General features: G+C 42.6%; 1 long non-coding RNA gene and 1 pseudogene across 1 annotated transcript, besides 1 other annotated feature; both read right to left on the reverse strand.

Annotated features, from left to right (window-relative positions):
• Nucleotides 1–1024: 1024 nt before the first annotated feature.
• LOC105379474 (uncharacterized) lies at nt 1025–2757 on the reverse strand. Its single transcript, XR_005647013.1, has 3 exons — nt 2741–2757; nt 1846–1922; nt 1025–1749 (listed from the first exon to the last, which is right to left on the reverse strand). It is a non-coding gene; the product is annotated as an uncharacterized LOC105379474 (long non-coding RNA).
• Nucleotides 7662–7956: a silencer, noted in NCBI's record as "tiled region #9819; K562 Repressive non-DNase unmatched - State 20:ReprD". NCBI's record gives its function as "represses a minimal TATA promoter and a strong SV40 promoter by Sharpr-MPRA in K562 cells {active_cell/tissue: K562}" and the evidence as "EXISTENCE:reporter gene assay evidence [ECO:0000049][PMID:27701403]".
• Nucleotides 12206–12352, reverse strand: LOC647208 (protein phosphatase 2 regulatory subunit B''beta pseudogene; annotated as a pseudogene).

Genomic DNA, 23315 nt, shown 5'->3' on the forward strand with positions numbered 1-23315 from the left:
ATAAATTCTCACCCTAGCATGCCACCTACCCTCAATAAAAATCCAGGCCTGGCTCCTTTTCTTGCACATTCAAGCCATGTCAGATCACCTTGAAAGGCCTTCCTACTTACCTCACAAATGTAATTTATGTGAGTAGTAATTTCTTACCCTCTTAAAGCCACATCTTTGCAAGTGACTAACAATTGGTGCCATGAGCAGACTGTTCAGACATTGCCCACCAACCTGAGGATCTGTCTTCTCTTGCTAAGTTGCTCTGCTGCTTAATGTCTGGCATGTACTTTGACCTGCTGCTTCCGGAGGAGTTAGTGCTTTGAGCTGTGCCGCTCTGTTTATTGTTCTGCCAAATTTGTGAACTAAAAACTCAGACTTCCACATTACAGGGGGAAATGACACAAATCGTGGGGTTTGATTCAAACATAATAAATCTTTAAATTTTTATCATGCAATATAGTCACAAACGAATGAATAAAACATTTATCATAAGTTTTAGTGATAATAATGAAAACATTCTTAGAATCAAGATTTATTACATATATTTATAATATATATATAATTAATATATATAATATATAAATATATTTTATATTATAAATATATATAATTATATATAAATATAATATATATTTATAATATTTTATATAGAAATATATATATTTATAATATAATTATATATATATTTTTTTTGCCCCCGCCGCCGCGGATTCTTGCCCCCGACGCCACGGCTTTTTGCCCCCTACGCCGAGGCTTTTTGCGGCTTTTTGCCCCCGCCGCCGCCCCTTTTTGCCGCCGCAGTTTTTTGCTCCCGCCACCGCGGCTTCTTGCCCCCGCCGCCGCGGCTTTTTGCGGCTTTTTGCCCCTGCGGCATTTTGCCCCCGCCGCCGCCGGTTTTTGCCGCCGTGGCTTTTTACCCCCGCCACCGAGGCTTTTTGTCCCCGCCGCCCCAGCTTTTTGCCCCCACCGCCGCCGCTTTTTGCCACCACCGACGCGGCTCTGAGGGCGGGAGCGGCACACTCGGCTGCCGGCTCTACCGGCGTCCTTGTTCGGGCGGAGCCGAGGGGCGCTCCTGGTCCAGCTCTCCCGGCTCGGGGGTTCCTTGCCTAGGCGCCCGCGCCCCGAGCTCCCCGCCTTGGCCGCTGCGGCCTGCATAGAGCGGCGCTGCGCGTAGCGGCCAGGGGAGAGAAGAAGGAGGGCGGTGGCGGGGGTGATGCGGCGGCCTCTTTGGGAGGCGCAGGGGCCGCAGCCAGCCAGACGCTGCAGCAGTGTGGGCAGCTCCAGAAGCTTGTGGGCAGCTCCAGAAGCTTATCCGCATCTCCATTGGCAGCCTGAGCCGGTTGCGCAACAAGTGCGCTGTGTCCAAGGACCTCACCCAGCAGGAGATACGGACCCTGGAGGTAAGGGGGTCGTGGACCCAGGCTGGGCTCGAGGAGCGGCCCAGACACCTCCCTCCGTGCCCGAGTTCACTCCTGGCCGAGTTGCATCCTTGAGCCCGAGTCGCCCCGTTGGAGGCTTCCCCTCCCTCCTGCACTCGCTGATGCGGCAGCCGGAGGACCCGGGACCAGCCCTCACCTTGGGCAGGATCTGTGGGGCGGGTGCGTCGTGGGAACTGGCAGGGAGGCTTGAGGGGCCCATGGGCGAGGTGGGCTGCGAGCGGACATCCCCTTACCCCCTGAATTTCCATCTGGTCCAGCCCTCTCATCTTGTGGGTGAGGAAACCGAAGGCCTGAGGGAGAACTGACTTGCCTGGAACCCCTGTTAAGGAGAATTAACAAAGTGTGGTTATTAAAGGAGCACTGAGTTGGGAGTGAGACCTGGAGGCCCACACCCTTGGTTAAGACATAATACCACCTTGAGTCTGGCCTGTTGACTGAGGGTGAGCCACTCCATCCTCATCTGATTGTGGGGTCTTGACCTCAAGGGGTTGCCTGAAGGAAGAAGCACATGGGTTTGCTTTCCTAGCTCTGTCCAGTACCTTAGGGACCCTGAGGACTGGAGAGATTCTTGGAGAGCCATCTGGTGTATATCATGGGTGGGCCTTTTTTGAAGGTCAGTCTGCCCAGTGGGCTGGCTCAGCCCCAATGAACTGTCTTGAATCTTTGGAGTTGTCTGGGTACTTTTAAGGGCTTCTCATCCTTGCACCAAAAGATCCCCTGGAAATTAGGTGGGAAAACTTTAACTTTTGTGGGGCCTTGTGTTTGTCTTAAAAGTTCATGCACATGGCCAGATGTGGTGGCTCACACCTGTTATCCTGTCCTGGATCCCTTGAGTCAAGGAGTTTGAGACTAACCTGGACAATATAGTGAGACCCTGTCTCTACAAAAAATAAAATATTAGCCAGTGGTGGTTGTGCACATCTGTAGTCCCAGCTACTACTGTGGCTGAGGTGGGAGGAGCACTTGAGCCTGCACTGAGCTGTGATCTCAGCAGTGTACTCCAGCCTGGGCCACAGAGCAAGACCCTGACTCAAAAAAAAAAAAAAAAAAACCAACAAGAAAAATACTTGAAGATTTTTGCATTCTGTCCCACTACCCATTGGTTGTCATGTGAAGATAATGTCAGAAATTCTTTACAATTGCTTCCAGAAGGAGTAGCCTTTTGATCTAGTGCACAGGTGTCTTTTGGCTTCTCAGGGTCACATTGGAAGAAGAATGCTCCTGGGCCACATATAAAATACACTAATGCTAACGATAGCTGATGAGCTTAAAAAAAAAAAAGGTTTGTGCATAATTTTCATGATACCCACCACCACAGATAGGTGGAAAAGTCCTTGTAGTCAAAGGGTTGGACGCGGCTGACCTAGTGTCTTGTCATCCGTTTTGGCTTTCTCCCTGATTCCAGAATGCAGGTATAGATGTAGAGACGTGCTCTCAGGACAGCTGTTGAGATAAAAAATTCTTTGTCATTTATTCCCAAGCACAGCTGTTTGTCATTTGCATTGAAAAAGTCTCCATTCAAACTGCTGTCACATATAAAATCTATTTATGTAAGTCTGTATTTTTCTGTTGTCTTGGCCTTTTGGGCAGTAGAGTGTTTTAACCGAGCAAACTGTCCTTCCAAATAATGAAGTCGAAGTCAGCCTACCTGCTTGCCATTTTTCTTCCCCTTCCATTTTTCTAACTTCAGGATAATTGTAAGAATGAATTAAACTTTATGTTGAAGGCCGGGCACAGTGTCTCAGGCCTGTAATCCCAGCACTTTGGGAGGCAGAGAGGGATGTATCACTTGAGCTCAGGAGTTGAAGACCAGCCTGGGCAACATACTGAGACTCCGTCTTGTAAAATTAAATTAAAATGTTTAAAAAGAAGAGAAAAAGACCTGTGTTTAAATTTTAAAAAAGGGGAAATTGTAATGCAAAATGTGGACTATGCCAGCTATGATTGGGAAAAATAATTTTTCCTACAGCATTATCTGTAGACTTGTATTAGCAGCATACTGGTCATAAGCGTTTTGCTTTCCTCAAACATGATGAGGTAAGCTACTTTAAAGTGTGGTAGGGCTGTCTTCCACGTGGCTCCTGGTGGTGTTGAGTCCCAATTTAGCCAATTAATTTGGGTTTAGTTTTGATGTGGATAAGGGAGACCAGCTTCATTCATGGTGCACACACAGTTTTGCCAATAAGGGAAAAAAAAAGCAACCTGAATGTTCCTACTCATTAGATGCTATCTGGAGAGCTCCTACCCCACCCCCACCAAGGCCCAGACCCTTAAAAAGACTCAGTGCAGCCTTTCTGTATCTCATACTGTATTCTGCAAGATGCTCCTGTGAAAGAAAGTTGTGCTGCATCAGCCGTCTCCCTCCTGAAGATCCCTGCGGATGAGGATTTGTGTTTTAAAGGTTCTGAGAAGTCCTGCAATGACAGTCCTCAAACTTATTTGTCCAGGGGATCTTTTCTTCCACTGAACGTAGTTGGGGAGACACGGCCTTAAGCCTTGAGCAGAGAAAGAGACAAGAAGCTGTTGGCTCACTTACAACCAAGTGTTGTGTTTATGTGTTAGGTTTTCATGAAACTGAGGTGCTGTTTGAGGTTCTAAATCAAATTGGGTGGTTGAGGAGAGCCTGGTATCCCTGTAGACTTAGCCAGCCATGAGAGGTTGCCTTTTGTTGAAGGAGGTATTTTACAAAGGGAAGTAGGATGTCTCCTGGGCATCACATTAGCACTTAAATATATGTATCACTGAAATGAAATGAAATGATGAAATGGTGAAATGAAATAATGAAATGAAAGGAAATGATGAAATGAAGGAATGAACTGATGAAATGAAATGATAAAATGATGAAATGATGAGATGAAGTGAAATGGTGAAATGATGAAATTAAATGATGAAATGATGAAATGAAATGATGAAATGATGAAATGATGAAATGAAATGATGAAATGATGAAATGGAATGATGAAATGATGAAATGGTGAAATGAGATGAGGAAATGAAATGAAATGACGAAGTGAAATGATGAAATGAAATGAAATGATAAAATGATGAAATGAAATGAAAAGATGAAATGATGAAGAAATATGAAATGATGAAATGAAATGAGGAAATGAAGTGAAATGATGAAATGATGAAATAATAAAATGAAATGAAATGATGAATTGATGAAATGAAATGATGAAATGAAATGAAATGATGAGATGAAAAGATGAAATGAAATGATTAAATGAAATGATGAGATGGAAAGATGAAACGAAATGATGAGATGAAATGATGAGATGAAATGATGAAGTGAGGAGATGAAGTGAAATGATGAAATGAAATGATGAAATGATGAAGTGAAATGATGACATGAAATGATGAAATGAAATAATGAAAGGATGAAATGATGAGATGAAATGATGAAAGGAAATGAAATGAAATGATGAAATGAGGAAATGAAATGAAATGATGAAGTGAAATGATGAAATAATGAAACTAAATGAAAAGATGAAATGATGAAATGAAATGATGAAATGATATGAAATGATGAAATAAAGTGAAATGATGAAATGATGAAATGAAATTAAAAGAAATGATAAAATGAAATGATGAAATTATATGAAATAATGAAATGATGAAGTGAAATGATGAAATGATGAAATGATGAAATAATGAAATGAAATGAAATGATAAATTGATGAATTGATAAAATGAAATGAAATGAAATGACGAGATGAAAAGATGAAATGAAATGATGAAATGAAATGACGAGATGAAAAGATGAAATGATGAGATGAAATGAAATGACTAGATGAAATCATGAGATGAAATGGTGTAATGATGAGATGAAGTGAAATGATGAGATGAAATGAAATCATGAGATGAAATGATGAAATGATGAAATGAATGAAATGAAATGAGATGAAATGATGAGATGAAATGATGAGATGAAATGATGAAATGAAAGGAAATGATGAAATGATGAAACAAAATGAAATGAAGAAATGAAATGATGAAAGGAAATGATAAAATGATGAAATGAGATGAAATGTAATGGTGAAATGAGGAAATGAAATGAAATGATGAGATGAAATGAAATGAAATGATGAAATGATGAAATGGAATGATGAAATGATGAAATGATGAAGTGATGAAATGGTGCAATGAAATGAGGAAATGAAATGAAGAAATGAAATGATGAAGTGAAATGATGAAATGAAATGAAATGATGAAATGATGAAATGAAATGAAAAGATGAAATGAAGAAATGATACGAAATGATGAAATGAAATGAAGTGAAATGAAATGATGAAATGATGAAATGAAATGATGAGATGAAAAGATAAAATGAAATAAAATGATTAAGTGAAATGACGAGATGAAAAGATGAAATGATATGAAATGAAATGATGAGATGAAATCATGAGATAAAATGATGAAATGATGAGATGAAGTGAAATGATGAAATGATGAGATGAAATGATGAGATGAAATAATGAAATGAAAGAATGAAATGAAAGGATGAAATGATGAGATGAAATGAAAGGATGAAATGAAATGATGAAATGAGGAAATGAAATGATGAAACGAAATGATGAAGTGGAATGATGAAATTATGAAATGAAATTAAAAGAGGAAATGATGAAATGATATGAAATGAAATGAAATGATGAAATGAAGTGAAATGATGAAATTAAATGATGAAATGAAATGATGAAATAAATGAACTGAAATGATGATGAAATGAAATGACGAGATGAAAAGACAAAATGAAATGAAATGATGAAATGACGAGATGAAAACATGAAATGATGGGATGTAATGAAATGATGAGATGAAATCATGAGATGAAATGATGAGATGAAGTGAAATGATGAGATGAAATGAAATCATGAGATGAAATGATGAAATGATGAAATGCAATGATGAAATGAATGAAATGAAATGATGAAATGATGAAATGACATGAAAAGATGAAATGATGAAATGAAATGATATGAAATGATGAAATAAAGTGAAATGATGAAATGAAATTAAAAGAAATGATAAAATGAAATGATGAAATTATATGAAATGATGAAATGAAGTGAAATGATGAAATGATGAAATAATGAAATGAAATGATGAAATGATGAATTGATGAAATGATGAAATGAAGTGAAATGACGAGATGAAAAGATGAAACGGTGAAATGAAATGAAGAGATGAAAAGATGAAATGAAATGATGAGATGAAATGAAATGACTAGATGAAATCATGAGATGAAATGGTGTAATGATGAGATGAAGTGAAATGATGAGATGAAATGAAATCATGAGATGAAATGATGAAATGAATGAAATGAAATGAGATGAAATGATGAGATGAAATGATGAGATGAAATGATGAGATGAAATGATGAGATGAAATGATGAAATGAAAGGAAATGATGAAATGATGAAACGAAATGAAGAAATGAATAAATGAAATGATGAAATGAAATGATAAAATAAAATGATGAGATGAAATGTAATGGTGAAATGAGGAAATGAAATGATGAAATGATGAGATGAAATGAAATGATGAAATGATGAAATGGAATGATGAAATGAAATGATGAAATGATGAAGTGATGAAATGGTGCAATGAAATGAGGAAATGAAATGAAGAAATGAAGTGAAATCATGAAATGAAATGAAATGATGAAAAGATGAAATGATGAAATGAAATGATATAAAATGAAATGATGAGATGAAGTGAAATGATGAAATGATGAAATAATGAAATGAAATGATGAAATGATGAATCGATGAAATGAAATGATGAAATGATGAGATGAAAAGATAAAATGAAATAAAATGATTAAATGAAATGATGAGATGAAAAGATGAAATGATGAGATGAAATGAAATCATGAGATGAAATGAAATCATGAGATAAAATGATGAAATGATGAGATGAAGTGAAATGATGAGATGAAATGATGAGATGAAATGATGAAATGAAAGGATGAAATGATGAGATGAAATGAAAGGATGAAATGAAATGAAATGATGAAATGAAATGAAATGAAATGATGAAGTGGAATGATGAAGTGGAATGATGAAATTATGGCCTGGCTGGCTGGCTGGCATGGCTGGCTGGCTGGCTTGGCTGGCTGGCCGGCTTTGGCTGGCTGGCTTGGCTGGCTTGGCTGGCTGGGTGGCTTGGCTGGCCTGGCTGGCTTGGCTGGCTTGGCTGGCTGGCTTTGGCTGGGTGGTTTGGCTGGCTTGGCGGGCTGGGTGGCTTGGCTGGCTTGGCCGGCTGGGTGTCTTGGCTGACTTGGCTAGCTTGTCCGGCTGGGTGGCTTGGCTGCCTTGGCCGGCTGGATTTCTTGGCTGGCTTGACTGGCTGGCTGGCTTGGCTGGCATGGCTGGCTGGCTGGCTAGGCTGGCTTGGATTGCTGGCTGGCTTTGGCTGGGAGGCTTGGCTGCCTTGGCTGGCTGGGTGGCTTGGCTGGCTTGGCTGGCCTGGCTGGCTGGGTGGCTTGGTTTGCCTGGCTGTCTGGCTGGCTTGGCTGGCTGGCTGGCTTTGGCTGGGTGGCTTGGCTGGCTTGGCTGGCTGGCAGGCTTGGCTGGCTAGCTGGCTTGGCTGGCTTGGCTGGCTGTGTGGCTTGGCTGGCTTGGCTGGCTGGCTGGCTTGGCTGGCTGCCTGGCTGGCTTGGCTGTCTTGGCTGACTGGCTGGCTTGACTGCCTGGCTGGCTTTGGCTGGGTGGCTTGGCTGGCTTGGCTGGCTGGGTGGCTTGTCTGGCTTGGATGGCTTGGCTGGCTTGGCCGGCTGTGCTGGCTTGGCTGGCTTGGCTCGCTGGGTGGCTTGGCTGGCTTGGGTGGCTCTGTGGCTTGGCTGGCTGGGCTGCCTGGGTGGCTTGGCTGGCTGGCCGGCTTCGCTGGCTGGTTGGCTGGCTGGCTTGTCTGGCTGGGTGGCTTGGCTGGCTTGGCTGGCTGCGTGGCTTGGGTGGCTTGGGTGGCTTGGATGGCTTGGATGGCTTGGCTGGCTATGTGGCTTGGCTGGCTTGGCGGCTTGGGTGGCTTGGCTCGCTTGGGTGGCTTTGCTGGCTGGCTTGGCTGGCTTGGCTGGCTTGCCTGGCTGGCTGGCTTGGCTGGCTTGGCCGGCTTGGCTGCCTGGCTGGTTTGGCTGGCTGGCTTGGCTGCCTGGCTGGCTGGCTTGGCTGACTGTGTGGCTTGGCTGTCTTGGCTGTCTTGGCTGGCTGGCTGGCTTGTCTGGCTGGCTGGCTGTCTTGGCTTGCTTGGCTGGGTGGCTTGGCTGGCTGGGTCGCTTGGCTGGCTTGGCTGGCTGGCTGGCTTATCTGGCTTGGCTGGCTGGCTGGCTTTGACTGGGTGGCTTGGCTGGCTTGCCTGGCTGGGTTGGTTGGCTGGCTTGGATGGCTTGGCCGGCTGGGTGGCTTGGCTGGCTTGGCTGGCTGGGCCGGCCTAGCTGGCTTGGCTGGCTGGCTGGCTTGTTTGGCTTGGCTTGGCTTGGCGTGTGCGGCAGCCGAGGCTGGGGCTGTGACTTCTACAGAGGTTGGTGCGACAGGGGGCATCCCTGCCCTCCCAGGGTCTGCCTGTGGGTCATGGGGAACATGGTTCGAGGCCCCTCCTGTAGCCACACAGCAGTGTGTTGCTGCGTGAGTGGTCTTGTCTGCAGGCTTTAAACTCAGCCGGGTCGTTTGTGCCACGTGGGGTCTGCGCCGCCCCAGGGGCCGCATCTCTTTCAGCCACAGGATGTGCATCTTAGGGTTGCAGCAGATGGGGCTCCTGTGCCATGTGGGGTCCAACCCCTTGGCCTGAGCAAGGCGGCCAGTGGGCATTGTGCTGGTGACGACCTCCAGCCTCTGTTCCTTCCCTGGCTCTGAGTCATAAAGGCCTCCCAGTCCCACCTGGGAGCCGTGTCTCCTCTAGGAACTGCTGGGCATGGCTGGGTCCGGTCTGCCTCATTCCTGCATCTGATGCCCACCAGTTCTTCCCCAACTCCCCCATTCTCTATCTCCCCCTTCTCCTCCATCTCCTCCATCTCCCCCGTCCCCTCCGTCTTGCCCGTCTCCATTTCCTCCAACTCCCCCTTCTCCATGTCATGGCTGTCTAGGCTCCATCCCTCCGCAGGCTCGGTCCCCCCTTGTTCTGGGCAGGGCTCTGGGTGCCGGTCTGGTGCCAGTGCTGGGAGCCTGTGGTGCCCGTCACCCCTGCTCCACCTTGAGGAGCTGTGTCCTGTCCCACGAGGAGGTGCCCCGGGACCTCAGGGCTGCAAGCCATGGCTGGGTCCGGCTCTGCCTCATTCCTGTATCTGATGCCCCCCAGTTCTCCCCCATTTCCCCCTTCTCCATCTCCTCTGTGTCTCCCGTCTCATGGCTGTCCAAGCCCCATCCCCCACCCAGGCTGGGTCCCCTCATTCTGGGAAGCCCGTCTTGCCATGCCCATCCCTGCCGCCCCTCAGGACAGCGCTCTGGATGCCGGTCTGGTGCCAGTGCTGGGAGCCTGTGGTGCCCGTCACCCCTGCTGCACCTTGAGGAGCTGTGTCCTGTCCCACAAGGAGGTGCCCGGGGACCTCAGGGCCATGGCTGGCATCGTTGCTGTGGAGTGGCTGTCACCTTTCATGGTCATCCTGCAACAGAGCTCCTGCTGCTTCTGGGTGAACCTGGGGCTGCCCCCGTGAACACTCTTGGGTCTGACATGAAGGGACCATGTGAGGGAGGGGTGGGGTGGGCTGGGTCCCTGCATGGGGATCGCCAAGGGGTGATGGCCACGAAATGCCAGGGACCCAAGATTGTCATTCACAGAGGGTGAGGTGGGGATGCCAGAGGCGCCTCTGCCTGGAACACCCTGGCTTCTGTCCTAGCAGGATGCTGGACGCTGGCCACGGTGAGGGTGATGCAGGTGCTTTTCTTGTGGGGTCCCTGGCCCACCTCACACGTGAGCTCTCAGGGAAATGGACCCCCAGAACTCGTGGAGGGCAGGACCGCTGGGCTCTGGGTCTCACCGCAGTGCTGCCGTCCACGAGGACCCCCCACTTCTCCAGCAAAGGTGTGGGTGTGCATGCCCGGCCCTGGCACAGCCCAGAGCATCTGGGGCCGTGGCTAGGGAAGGACGGGGTGCTTGGGGAATGCAGTGGGTATGGGGATGTCGGAGGACACTCAGGCTGTGCAGGAGCCTCACCAGGGATGTGGGTGGGGGACGCTGTCTTTCGTTTCACAGCCCCAGGGAGGCTTCTGATGTCTCAGCCTTGAACCCTAATTGGGGGGCTCCTAGTGTCAGTGTGGGAAGCTGAGGGTCCCAGTCAGAGGTGAACCCCTCACTTCTGGCCCCTCACTCCCATGACCATGGGCTCCAGCTCATAGGTGTGTGTGAGGGGTGTCCTGAGGTGGTGTGGGGCAGACATGCTCTCCCAGATGGGCTCCCCGGAGCTTGGGGCAGGGTGGGGCCTGCAGGCTGTGGCTCCCAGTGTCACTTCCCTGCAGCAGCCACAGTCAGACTCTCCGGCCCTGCACCTGTCCTGTTGTTGGGGACCCTGACCCTTCGCAGACCCAGGTGGGGGCATCCGGGAATTCAGGGGAGCACCTGGTGACAGAGGACACCTTGGGGGCAGCAGCCATTTCCCTGGGAGGTGCGGCCAGTCTACCCACTGCCTGGAGCCCGCACCGTCTCTCCTCAGGGGTCATGGGACCACCCTGTGCATCCACCTCCTTCACAGCCACAGCTGCCAGTAGATTAACGGGGCGTGTGTGCTGCTCTTGGGGTGGTCCCGGCCCGGCCCGGCCCTGCCCTCCCCACCAAGTGCCCAGGGCCGCCCTGCCCGCCTGTGCCCTGCCCTGTAGATGCTGCCACCTCCCTTTCCTGGGGGAGCATTTTGTCTTGTGTGAGGACGGGGTCATTCCCATGGTCACCACCTGTGACCCTCCCCTGCTTGCAGAGGGAACAGAGCTGGGCCTGGGCTTATCCATGTCGGGTGCCCCTGGGGGACCTGGGGGCTCGTGGCCTCCCCTGCACACAGGGCTCCTCCTGGCGGGGCCTCCGAACCCCCTCATTTAGGTGTCGCTGCACGTGGCTCCCAGGTGTGGACGTCCCCACTCTGGCGAGGGCTCCTTCCTTCTGGGGTCGTTTGTGGAATGTGGCCTGGGTCCATGGCTCTGGGAGGGAACAGCCCAAGGGTGGGGACCCCTGGCTGGGGAGGAGGCCCCGCAGAGAGGCCCAGACTGTATCCCGATGCATCTGGCGTGGCCGCGGTCCCCCTCCAGCGCCGACGTTTGTAAATTCTGAAAGGAGCCATGCTGTGGCTGAGGGAGCCAAGCCCGTGACTGAAAAATCCTCCAAACATTCATTCAAAAATACAAGTGTGATCGCCAGAAACGCTTTTGTACATTTACACAAAACATTCATACAGGCCATGGCGGAGGCTCCTGTCTAGGACTGGCAAGGCGCCCGGGAGCCGCCGGTCACCCTTGTGCCTACACAGACCCTTTCCAGAAAGATGCAGGCCCTGGAACTGAGGCCGAGTCAAGTCGGGAATGGCAAGTGCCGGAGGGTGTCAGTCAGAACAGTGTCAGAACCTGTCCTGTTCACGAGCGGCCCTACATGTCCCCCGGGCACAGAGCTCTAGGCAGGTCCAGCCACGAACCCACAGCGGCAATCAACACGCTTCTGTGAATAAATAAAAATTTATCATTCCATGCAAACACACTCATTTTCCACAAAAGACAACAGTTTTTACACAAGCGGCGGTGTCCCAGTGGTGGCCGTGGCACGTGTGGAGCGGCCCCGCAGCGGCGTTCTCATGGGTGGCGTCACAGTGGCTCCAGGTCCTCATCCCCGCATGCATACTCGTACAGGTCCACGGCGCCCAGGGGTGAGGGCACCTCGAAGAAGGGCCTCTGGGCCAGCGGGGACTGCAGCGCACTCAGCTTCTGCTCCACAGGTCTGAGCTCGGCCTCGAACCTGCAACGAGGGGATGGTGAAGACGTGGACAGCGGCGTGGAGCAGGCCCTGGGCCCTGTTTTCCGAGAAATGCAGGCTGCTCCGCAGCCAACCTCCAGCACGAGAAAGTCCCCTGAGCCGACCTTGAGCTCCAGCCGCTGACCCCGCAACAGGCTCCTGGCTGAGAAAGCCGGCTCCACCAACGCTCCCGGGGGAGGGGCCAGCGGTGCAGGTGAAAACCCACCCAGGACGGGACGGAGCCCCAGGCATGAGGTGCACAGAGAGGAACCGGGCGGGCTCATCTTTTCCCCAAAGCGACACGACGGTGACTCTCAGAGGGCAGCCTCTGAGCTGCAAGGGGCCTGTGTTTACACAACTGGGTCATGGTGTCTACACAGGATTGGAGAACAAACGGGACCACGGTTTGGACAAATTCTCCCAAAGCACAGAAGCTCCTAGTGGAGGCCACCACTTCCATTCTGACCAGAACACACAGCAGTGCGAGGACTGGACGCGCACCTTCCGTTAAGGTCTCGGCAGTGACATCGGGCGCTACTCCGGGGAAACCAGCGCGGCCACCGACAACACAGTCTCATAGAGATCCTGCAGGGACACCTCTGCTTTCCAAGATGCCCCCCACAGCCTGGCACTGAGCTCCCACTGCCGGAGCAGGCATGGACACGGTGAAGGCAGTCAACCCCAGTGTGGTGCTGGCCACTGGTCAGGTGTGGAGCAGAGGTGACAGACGGTGGTGGGGACAGGTGCATACCCATCCAGGCTATGTCTGGGGGACACAGCTGCCTCAGGGTGTCTGGCAGGAGAAGGCAGACTGGGAAGTTCTGGGGGAGTGGGGACCCAGAGGTGGGCTGCCAGGTCAGAGCCACTGTGCAAATAACTGATCACAAGGAGGACAGACACACAGGACAGATGGCCCAGGGTAAGAAATTTCCTCAGGAAAGGCTCTGGTAGAGGAATCACAGTTAGATGAACCAAAGCTTCAAATTCTACATTTTCATACATATATATATATATATATATATATATACACACACATATACACAACTTTAGCAATAAAAAACAAGTAGACTTTAATACTCGTATACTTTATAATTCATTTTGGAACTGCCTCATTCTCCCTTTAGCTGGTCACTGTGCACCTCGTGTTCTCAGTCTCTCCACCAAAAAAAAAATTTCCTCAGGAAAGGCTCTGAGAGAGGAATCGTAGTTAGATGAACTAAAGCTTCAAATTCTACATATATATATATATATTTAGCAGTAAAAACAAGTAGACTTTAATACTCTTATACTTTATAATTCATTTAGGAAAAGAAGGAACACCTTTGCAGCTACTCCTGCTAAGTTACCAAGAGTTTTTTCAATACTAATCTTCACAATTCATATTCAAATACTAAGAATCCCTAATCCCTTTAAAAATACATTTGTATTTCCAATAATTTGATATAGGCTCTCAAAAAGTCATTACATTTTGAGGGTAAAATCGAAACAACCTAAACATTAATGCCAAGTAATGAATATAATAGTTCACACATATTAAACAGTTAATTCATATGTGTAATACATTGTTACATATATACTTATACACAAAAACAAACATGTATGTGTATAAAATCTCAACAAATCCGATAAGAATTATTAGAACTAGTAATTAGACACTGTTGTTCTACTTCTGTAACCCATGATCTTAAACCATTATAGAATAAACCTTAAAAGCAATCATTATTTTCAAAGACAATTTTGAAACTTGCCTTGTGCGAGTTAGTAAATAACTGTGCTCCTTGGTTTCCTCATCTGTTACATGGGTAGAACCTACACTGTTACATAAAGATTAGAGCAGTTAATAGATAGAATATTTTAGTATTTATAGATCTAGAATATAAAAAGGAATTAATAAGTTTTAAGGAGAAAAAATAAGGGAAAAATAGTCTCATTTTCAAGCCTACTAAACATAAAATGTTTCTTACATTTAATTTATACATGCAGGGTAGGTCACTATACTAAAAATAAAGCACATTTAATTTGAAATTTTAGAAAGGGTAGATTGTTCTTATTTAGAGAATTGCAATACATTTTAATTTGTGAGCAGGAGGTCATGGTGTTATTTAGAAACAGTGACAAGAAACTTTTTTTGGCTATTATAAATGGAAATGGAAAAAAAGAAAGAAAAGCCAAGAGTAGTCATTTGACTCCAACAAGTAGTTTTTAAAAACTATTTCATTTGATTATCAGCTTCAGTTTCAAACGTTATATATCTGATAAACAAAACACAAAGGAAAAGCTTGATAATTAACAAAAAACTCTATAGTATCTCCTTTTTTTCATCTTTTTCCAGGTCAGATTCTTGCAAGCACTGGGAAATTAGTGTTTATTTAAGATTTAATGACAATGTTAATGCCACTGTCAATCTGTATTCTTTATCTAGAAAGGCAAATCTGATTTACATTAACCTGAACACCTTAATAACTAATTAAAATCTCAGCCTTCTGGCTAAGTTCTTAGACATTTATTCTGTTTAACTCAGCAACAAAATATTATTAGTCACTTTCTTTTGAGAAAGGTGAGTCTAATTTATTGGTACTATTTATTACCAATACATTTTATAATCTGCAACCTAATTAGCCTTAACAAAGTATTTTGTACTCAGCATGACTCAAATATTTTACTGAACTTACTGAAAAAGAATGCTGCCATTGCATTTCCACTCTAATATACTGCAGTGATTTTGTGTTTGCACATATTTGTCCATGTCATATGTTTGCTTGAAAGAATGTAAAACAAAGAATGCATATAGATTATTAAAGAAATCCTCCCAAATTTGTTCACATATATTAGATCCTAAAACTAAATAGGTGTTTTTTTCTGAATTGAAATAGATTAACAGAACATATTAACTGAAATAACTGTCCTATTATTTATAATTCTTACCAGACACATGCAATTGAGCCTATGACTGAGGATGAAGACTCTATAAAGGACATCGCTCAAGTATACAATATGATTTTCTTTAATTTTGATCTGAAAGACTTGTTAATAGAAAGACTGAAGTTCTGTCAAACAAATTGATTACATTTCTACTGGATTTCGGAAATACGTAGCATCTGTGATAAATTAAAGTACTTAATCATCACTTATTGTCTTTAGTGTACAATTTATTATATCTCTATTTTTATACCCCTCAAAGTATTTGCAAAATTAATAGAACTTTCTTAAGAATACAGTGACTGTCCTCAAAATCCACTTAAAATTGGTAGCCTCAAATTTATATTTCATCTACTCTTCCAAAATAATTATTGTATTGTTGGTTTTAAATCTAACATCTCACTATTTTCTATTTTATCATATGCTTTTCTGATGCATTTTTTTTTCTGCTTTATGTTGATTTTTATGATCTTTTTTTTCTTTATTAGGTTTTAGGTGTAACTCTTTTTATTTTTGTAGTTACTTCATAGTTCATAATATGCAGCTTTAACTTATCACAGTCTACCTTCAAATGATATTACATCACTCAGACTGATTTGTGAGTACAGAGAGACTGGGCAGGGACATATATGATTTATCAGAAGCACCTGACTCTTTTAAAAGGCTCACTAATCTTAGTAAAATAAACCCATACAGAAAATTCTTTTATTTTAAGGTGAGTAAACATGCACACACATGGCCCTTCAAGGTCATTCTGTCAGCCAGCCTTAATCCAACCCATGAGATACCAATTTGCTAGTTTATGATCATTGCCATAGAACAGTTTTTTTTATTTTAAATTCTAAGTTTAAACTGAAGATTCAATGGAGGTGGAACTAGTTTTCTTTTTGAGCAAGAAAATAACTCAATTAAATGTACTATGTCTCAAAATATGCAGTATACACACCATCATGAAAACGAGACAAGAGTAAATAAATTATGACATCTAGAAAATTAGGTAAGACACTGTTCAATAATGAGGCAAAATAGGATGTGGATGTCACCTACGCTATCAAATAGAAATGTGGGGTTTCATCGAATAAATCTGAGGTTGAATGTATAGAACATTATTTCAAATATGTCTTGATTTGTATTTAAACTTATATCCTATAAAATCATGCAGAATATGAGGAGTCATTATCTAATTTTAAGTAGGAAAAATATGAATCAGTACTAATAATAAAAACTAATAATTTACTCAATGCCAGGCAATGTTTCTAGTGTTTTACATTTTCAGAAAACAATTATAACTGTGAAGAAAACAATTCTTCACTTTTCAAGAAAGAAAACCAAAGTAATGAGAAACTAAGTAAGTGGCCCACCCAAGGTCGTATAGTTAAGAAATGACTAAGTTGTAGACCTTATAGACCTTAACATGTTTTATTTGTTTGCTTGTTTTGAGATGGCATCTCACTCTGTCGCCCAGGCTGGAGTGCAGTGGCACGATCTCGGCTCACTGCAAGCTCTGCCTCCTGGGTTCATGCCATTCTCCTGCCTCAGTCTCCCAAGTAGCTGGGACTACAGGCGTCCACCACCATTCTCGGCTAATTTTTTTGTGTTTTTAGTAGAGACAGGGTTTCACCATATTAGCCAGGATGGTCTCGATCTCCTGACCTCGTGATCCATCTGCCTCGGCCTCCCAAAGTGCTGGGATTACAGGCATGAGCCACCACACCCAAGAGACCTTAACATGTTTTTAAGTAAAATGTATTATTTTTCATGTATAATGTTTGCTCTGTCTCTCATATATACATAAAAATATAATCATGAAGAGAATTATAATAGCCAACTTTATATTTCAGAGATATTGGCTTGGCATTGCTTTCAGCAGGTATTTTGACATTAGCCTCTGGAGTGGAGTTGGGGACAGGTTGATTTCAATGTTTCAAAAATATATGAGAACTGTGAACCTATGTTAGTGGATTGCCTATTCGTGACTTCTAGTTGAACACTATCAAAATTGACAACTAAAAAAAAAATGAAATGAGAGAAAATGTTTATAGCACTTAAGAGGATAAATTAGTTTCTTTATGTCTAGATTTTATATTAAATAAAGAGCTTTCAGGAAAAGTAAATGACAGTTAATGATTTTGATTATAATCAGTCAGATTTTTTCCATATTTGAGCAAAAATTGTAATTGACTTATCCACTGCTTTCAGTGTAGATTAGCTGAATCATCTAACTTATGTCATCTCTTATAAAAATATTGATTGAGATGAAAAATGAATAAATGATTTATCTTAAAACAGTTCTATGTTGATAATATAAAAAATACTGACAGTTTCATCTAAAATATGTTTGGATAAGCTACATTATATATGATTCAGATTCATATCTTATGTATAATTTTTATATGATATTTGATTTGGTTCATACACAAAGGAACAAATGTTTCTATGTAAGAAAGTTATTTTGCTTATTACAGAATTTAAAACTAAAATGATTCTTCCACGATGGCCATTTAACAATTTAAATTTAGGAAACATCTGGCATGTTCAACTGAGTATTTACTTTGCATAATTGTGTTCCATATCTTAATGCATTCCCTTTAGCAGTTTCTTTCAGCAAGCAACACATGTAAACTTGTTTCTCGCTAAATATTTTTTATTTAGCAAAGTTTTAGACCTAGAGATTTAAAGAAAAATTGAAAAGATGTTACAAAGATGAACTCTTGAACCGAATCTTTTATTTTTAAGCATGCAAAACGGTGTGGTTTTTTAAAACCCTGAAGACATAAATGTACAACTGAGAACCCAAAGAAAATTGGACTGTTTTGTTTTGTGATTTGATGTCTGAAAAATAAAATCCTTTAGTTTCCTTTCATTTTTCCTGAGAGAATATAAACTGTGTTGTGATGTCAAACTCATTCTGAGTTTAGATGCCCCATGGGCAAATCGTTTCATCTAATTAAAACAAAATGAAGACAAATCTCTTACACATAAATCTTTGATGGTGGGAAATGTAGCTTCATGTTTTTAAAGCCTTCACAGAAGACAAAGTACCTCTCAATCTTGTAACTCTACTTTTTATAGCTACCTAATTATTAAGGCATATTTGATATACTGTAATCAATTTATATTTGTGTTTTGTTTAATAATTGGGATCCTTTGGACCGTTTGCTGCAAATATCCTATATTTAAAAAAAAAAACTTTGTCTAAATATATCATGTAGAAAAATATTTATACCTAAAAATATAAACTCCATTAACAAAAATTGTTCAGCAAAACTCTATTAATTCAATACACTGTATGGTTAATTTTTGTAGCCAATTTTTCCTTTTCTTCTCTCTAATGATGTGATGTTCTTCAATGTCTTCTGAAAACTTGAGCATAGGAAGTTGGAAGTGTATAAAGCAAAACAAATAGTAAGGAGATAATTTAGAATGCTAATTTTTGAAGGGGAAATATAAATTTTACAACTCTTAGATTGCATTTTAAATTTATATTATCTGTATTTAAGTATTTAAGTTGATTTTCACCAGTGTGTTAGTGTGTTTGTGTTGTTGTAAAACAAATAACTAAGACTGGGTCATTTATAAAGAAAATAGATTTATTTGGCCCTTGGTTCTGCAGATTGTACACAATGCATAGTGTCAGCATCTGCTTGTGGTGAGGGCCTCAGGAAGATTACAATCATGGCAGAATTTGAAGGGGAGCCAGCATGTCATAGGGCAAGAGAGGGAGCAAGAGAGAGAGAGGGAAGGTGCCACACTCTTAAACAACTAGATCTCCTGTAAACTCTTTACCACTTATTACCCAAGGGAGGGAACCAAACCATTCATGAGGGATTTGCCCCCATGACCTAATACCTCCCACTAGGCCTCACATCCAACAATACAGGTCACATTTTAATATGAGATTTGGAGGGGATAAAACATCCAAACCATATCAACTGTTCACTGCTAACTACTAAGTCAAAGAATTAATTTTTTACAGGCAATGTATTTTTTTTCTTCATTCAAAAGAAAAATACTTGACTGGACCTTATGAGGAGAAAATGTTAATCTCTTGCAGTTTTTAATTAAATAAAATAATTTGAGGCTATTTTTGCAAATTAAGGCCATTGAGAAGGACTCTAGACTGTAAAAAGATTCCAGACATTTTCTATAAACATATTTCATTATATATATATATATATATATATATATATATATATATATATATATAGTTGTTATCATAGTAGATTTACACCATTGCCATCTGGAAGTAATTCCCTTATTCAACACAGAAGGATTTCTCATCCTTCTCCTAAATATTTTCTTCTAGCTCAGAGTGCCTGTGGCCAAAAACAAGAGATTTTAAAACAACAACAAAAACAAAAAAGTCTGCTATCCCCATATGGGTTATCTTTCTTTTGTAGTCTTCTTTTTACTTGAGTTAAAATATTTCCTTTGAATTCAGACTGACAAAGATATTGAAGGACATCGAATGTCGTTTAGAGCACTGTTCCTGCGCCTGTTTTCACTAGATCAATAGTGGAGGTGACTGGAGATATTGGAAGAAAGAAATAAACTAGGGTAGCTCATATCACCCATTCCATGTTTTTTGTCTTTAGGATGTCCCAGCCTGCAGTGAAAATGAATTCTGTTCTGCCTCTGCTATGCGGTAAATTTAGCAATAAAGTTTCTGCTCTGTGCCCTGTACTGGAGTGTAGTGTAGGAAAATCCCTGTTGCTAAGCACCACGCCAACAACACCATGAGCTACAGAGCTCACATGTTTATTTCATTATGCTTTACTTCTGTTTTTTTTTTTTGTTGTTGTTGTTGTTTTGAGATGGAGTCTGGCTCTGTAGCCCAGGCTGGAGTGCCATGGTGCAATCTCGGCTCACTGCGAGCTCCGCCTACCTGGTTCACGCCATTCTCCTGCCTCAGCCTCCGAAGTAGCTGGGACTACAGGCGCCCACCACCACGCCCAGCTAATTTTGTATATTTTTATTAGAGACGGGGTTTCACCGTGTTAGCCAGAATGGTCTCGATCTCCTGAGCTCATGATCCACCTGCCTCGGCCTCCCAAAGTTCATTATGCTTTATTTCTATGTCTATCTTGAATTGTTTCATATTCAGAGAAAACAGGAAGGTAAGTTGTTAACATTCTTCATTGCAACAAATTTTTAGAACTAATTCTATATTGAGGAATGTCTTACATTTTAACCAAAACCTTTTGATAAATTACAAAGTTGCTGAATATATCTAGATCTAAATCTTAAACTATATCTATAGCTATTATATAGATGTATATGATTTATCAAGAGCTATTATCTGGAATATATACTTGATTCCTTTTACAATTTTCATAATGTAACCAGAAAATGACCCTTGAGATCCTTGAGAGTGATTATATAAACATACCCTTGATTTGCTATCTCCAGCCTAATTATCACAGTTAAAATTTTGGTATCAAAAATGGAGCAAAGATAATAAGACTTGTAAAGCAGCAGACCTTACAAAATGTTAAAAACAATTTTATTTACATAGTGCATCCACACAGACCTAATTATATGTATTAAACCTAATGTTTAACATTATTAGCAAGTCAGAGAATTTAGAAAAATCAGACATAATTTTAGATAAAATAAATATTAATACTAGTCATTAATATAATCCGTTTGATAAAATGACTATATGAAAATAACTGCCCTCAAATTATTTTCAGCTCACATATTTTTAATGAAAGGAGATGGTGGCTGGAGGCAGTGGCTCACGCCTATAATGACAACACTTTGGGAGGCCAAGGCCGCGGATCACTTGAGATCAGGAGTTCAAGACCAACCTGGCCAACCTGGTGAAACTTTATCTGTACTAAAAATACAAAAGTTAGCTGGTTGTGGTGGTGGGCGTAATCCTAGCTACTCAGGAGGCTAAGGCAGGAGAATCACTTGAACACAGGAGGTGGAGGTTGTAGTGAGCCAAGATGGTGCTACTGCACTCCAACCTTTGTGAGAGATCAAAACTCTGTCTCAATGAATAAATAAACAAGGAGATGGTATGGAATCATTATTAATTTTGGGCCCCTCATGTTAGCTAATATGTTTAAACCTAGGTCAAGATAGAAACTGACCCAGATTATTACCATGTTTCAGTGCATAATATTTTAAAATAATTCAACACTGACACATAATACTATGCTATTCCACTTAGATATAAAAAAATGGTAAGAGAAGTCTCATGTTCTTGTCCCGGCATGGTCACTTACACCTGTAATCCTAGCACTTTGGGAAGCCAAGTGGGGAGGATCCCTTGAGGCCAGGAGTTTGAAACCAGACTAGGCAACACAGTGAGACCTATATCTACAGAAAATTTAAAAACTAGCTGGGCATTGTGGCAAGCACCTGTAGTCCCAGCTACTGGGGAGGCTGAGGAGGGAGAATTGCTTTGCTCAGGAGTTCCAGGCTACAGTGAGCTATGATCACATCACTGCACCCCAGCCTGCGTAATACAGTGAGACCCTGTCTCTTAAACAAACAAAAAATAATCCCAGAACTCTAATGTTCTTATATGATATAGGACTTTTAAAAATTAGCCAGGCATGGTGGTGCATGCCTGTAGTCCCAGCTACTTGGAAGGCTGAGGCACGAGAATCACTTGAGCCTTGGAGGCGGAGGTTGCAGTGAGCCGAGATCATGCCACTATACTCCAGCCTGGATGATAGAGCGAAACTGTCTCAAAATAAATAAATAAATGAATGAAAGTACACCGAAAGTTTTAACTTAACAAATTTTATTTATGCCTCACATTGATGGAGTGATAAAAACAAATAAGTAATACTAATGAACGTATAGGATATTTTACAATTTTTTAAAAAATTAGAACTTTATGTATACAAAGTAATTTAATTTTTTTTTTGTTTTTTTGAGATGGAGTCTCGGTCTATCACCAGGCTGGAGTGCAGTGGTGCGATCTCAGCTTGCTGCAACCTTTGCCTCCTGGGTTCAAGCAATTCTCCTGCCTCAGCCTCTCCAGTAGCTGGGACTACAGGCACGCAGCACCACACCCGGCTAATTTTTTGTATTTTTAGTAGAGATGGGGTTTCACCATGTTGGCCAGGATTGTCTCGATCTCTTGACCTCATGATCCACCCGCCTCGGCCTCCCAATGTGCTGAGATTACAGGTGTGAACCACCATGCTCGGCTGCAAAGTGATTTAAATTTATCAACAATTTTATCTTAACGCAAAATTTTTGTCATTTGTGATATTTTCCAATAGCTTATCCGAATTCCTTAGGATCAGATTTCAAAATAAGATTTCCAAGTCAGATTCTTTGAAATTACAATCCAAAAATATTTAGATTTTAGAAAGGTAATGTGGTAAATATTCTGCCTATTATGGAATAACTCTAGTGGCAAATCATATGAATAATCACATGAACTGGGATCAATAAGACTATAAATACCCCTGGTCAGGTGCAGTGGCTCACACCTGTAATCCTAGCACTTGGTGAGGTTAAGGTGGGTGGATCACAAGGTCAGAAGATCGAGACCATCCTGGCTAACACAGTGAAACTCTGTCTCTACTAAAAATACAAAAAATTAGCTGGGCATGGTGGCAGGCACATGTAGTCCCAGCTACTCGGGAGGCTGAGGCAGGAGAATGAATGGCGTGAACCCAGGAGGTGTAGCTTGCAGTGAGCCAAGATTGAGCCACTGCACTCCAGCCTGGGTGACAGAGCAAGACTCCGTATCAAAAAAAAAAAAAAATTAGCTCGGTGTGGGCAGGTGCCTGTCATCCCAGCTACACGGGAGGCTGAGGCAAGAGAATTACTTGAAACCAAGAATTGGATGTTGCAGTGAGCCAAGATCATGCCATTGCACTCCAGCCTGGGCAAGAGCAAAAACTCTGTTTAAAAAAAAAAAAAAAAAAAAAAAAAAACTATAAATACCCCTACATCAGCATAGATCAGATTTTCCAAAACTTAGGTTTAGGTATTCATAACTGTTGAATTTTGTAATTCCACATGAAGAATTGTAGATCTGCATATATTTTCAAATACTAATATTTATAATTACAT

Source organism: Homo sapiens, chromosome 16 (genome assembly GCF_000001405.40).
Source record: "Homo sapiens chromosome 16, GRCh38.p14 Primary Assembly".
In the NCBI taxonomy this organism is placed as follows: Eukaryota; Metazoa; Chordata; class Mammalia; order Primates; family Hominidae; genus Homo; species Homo sapiens.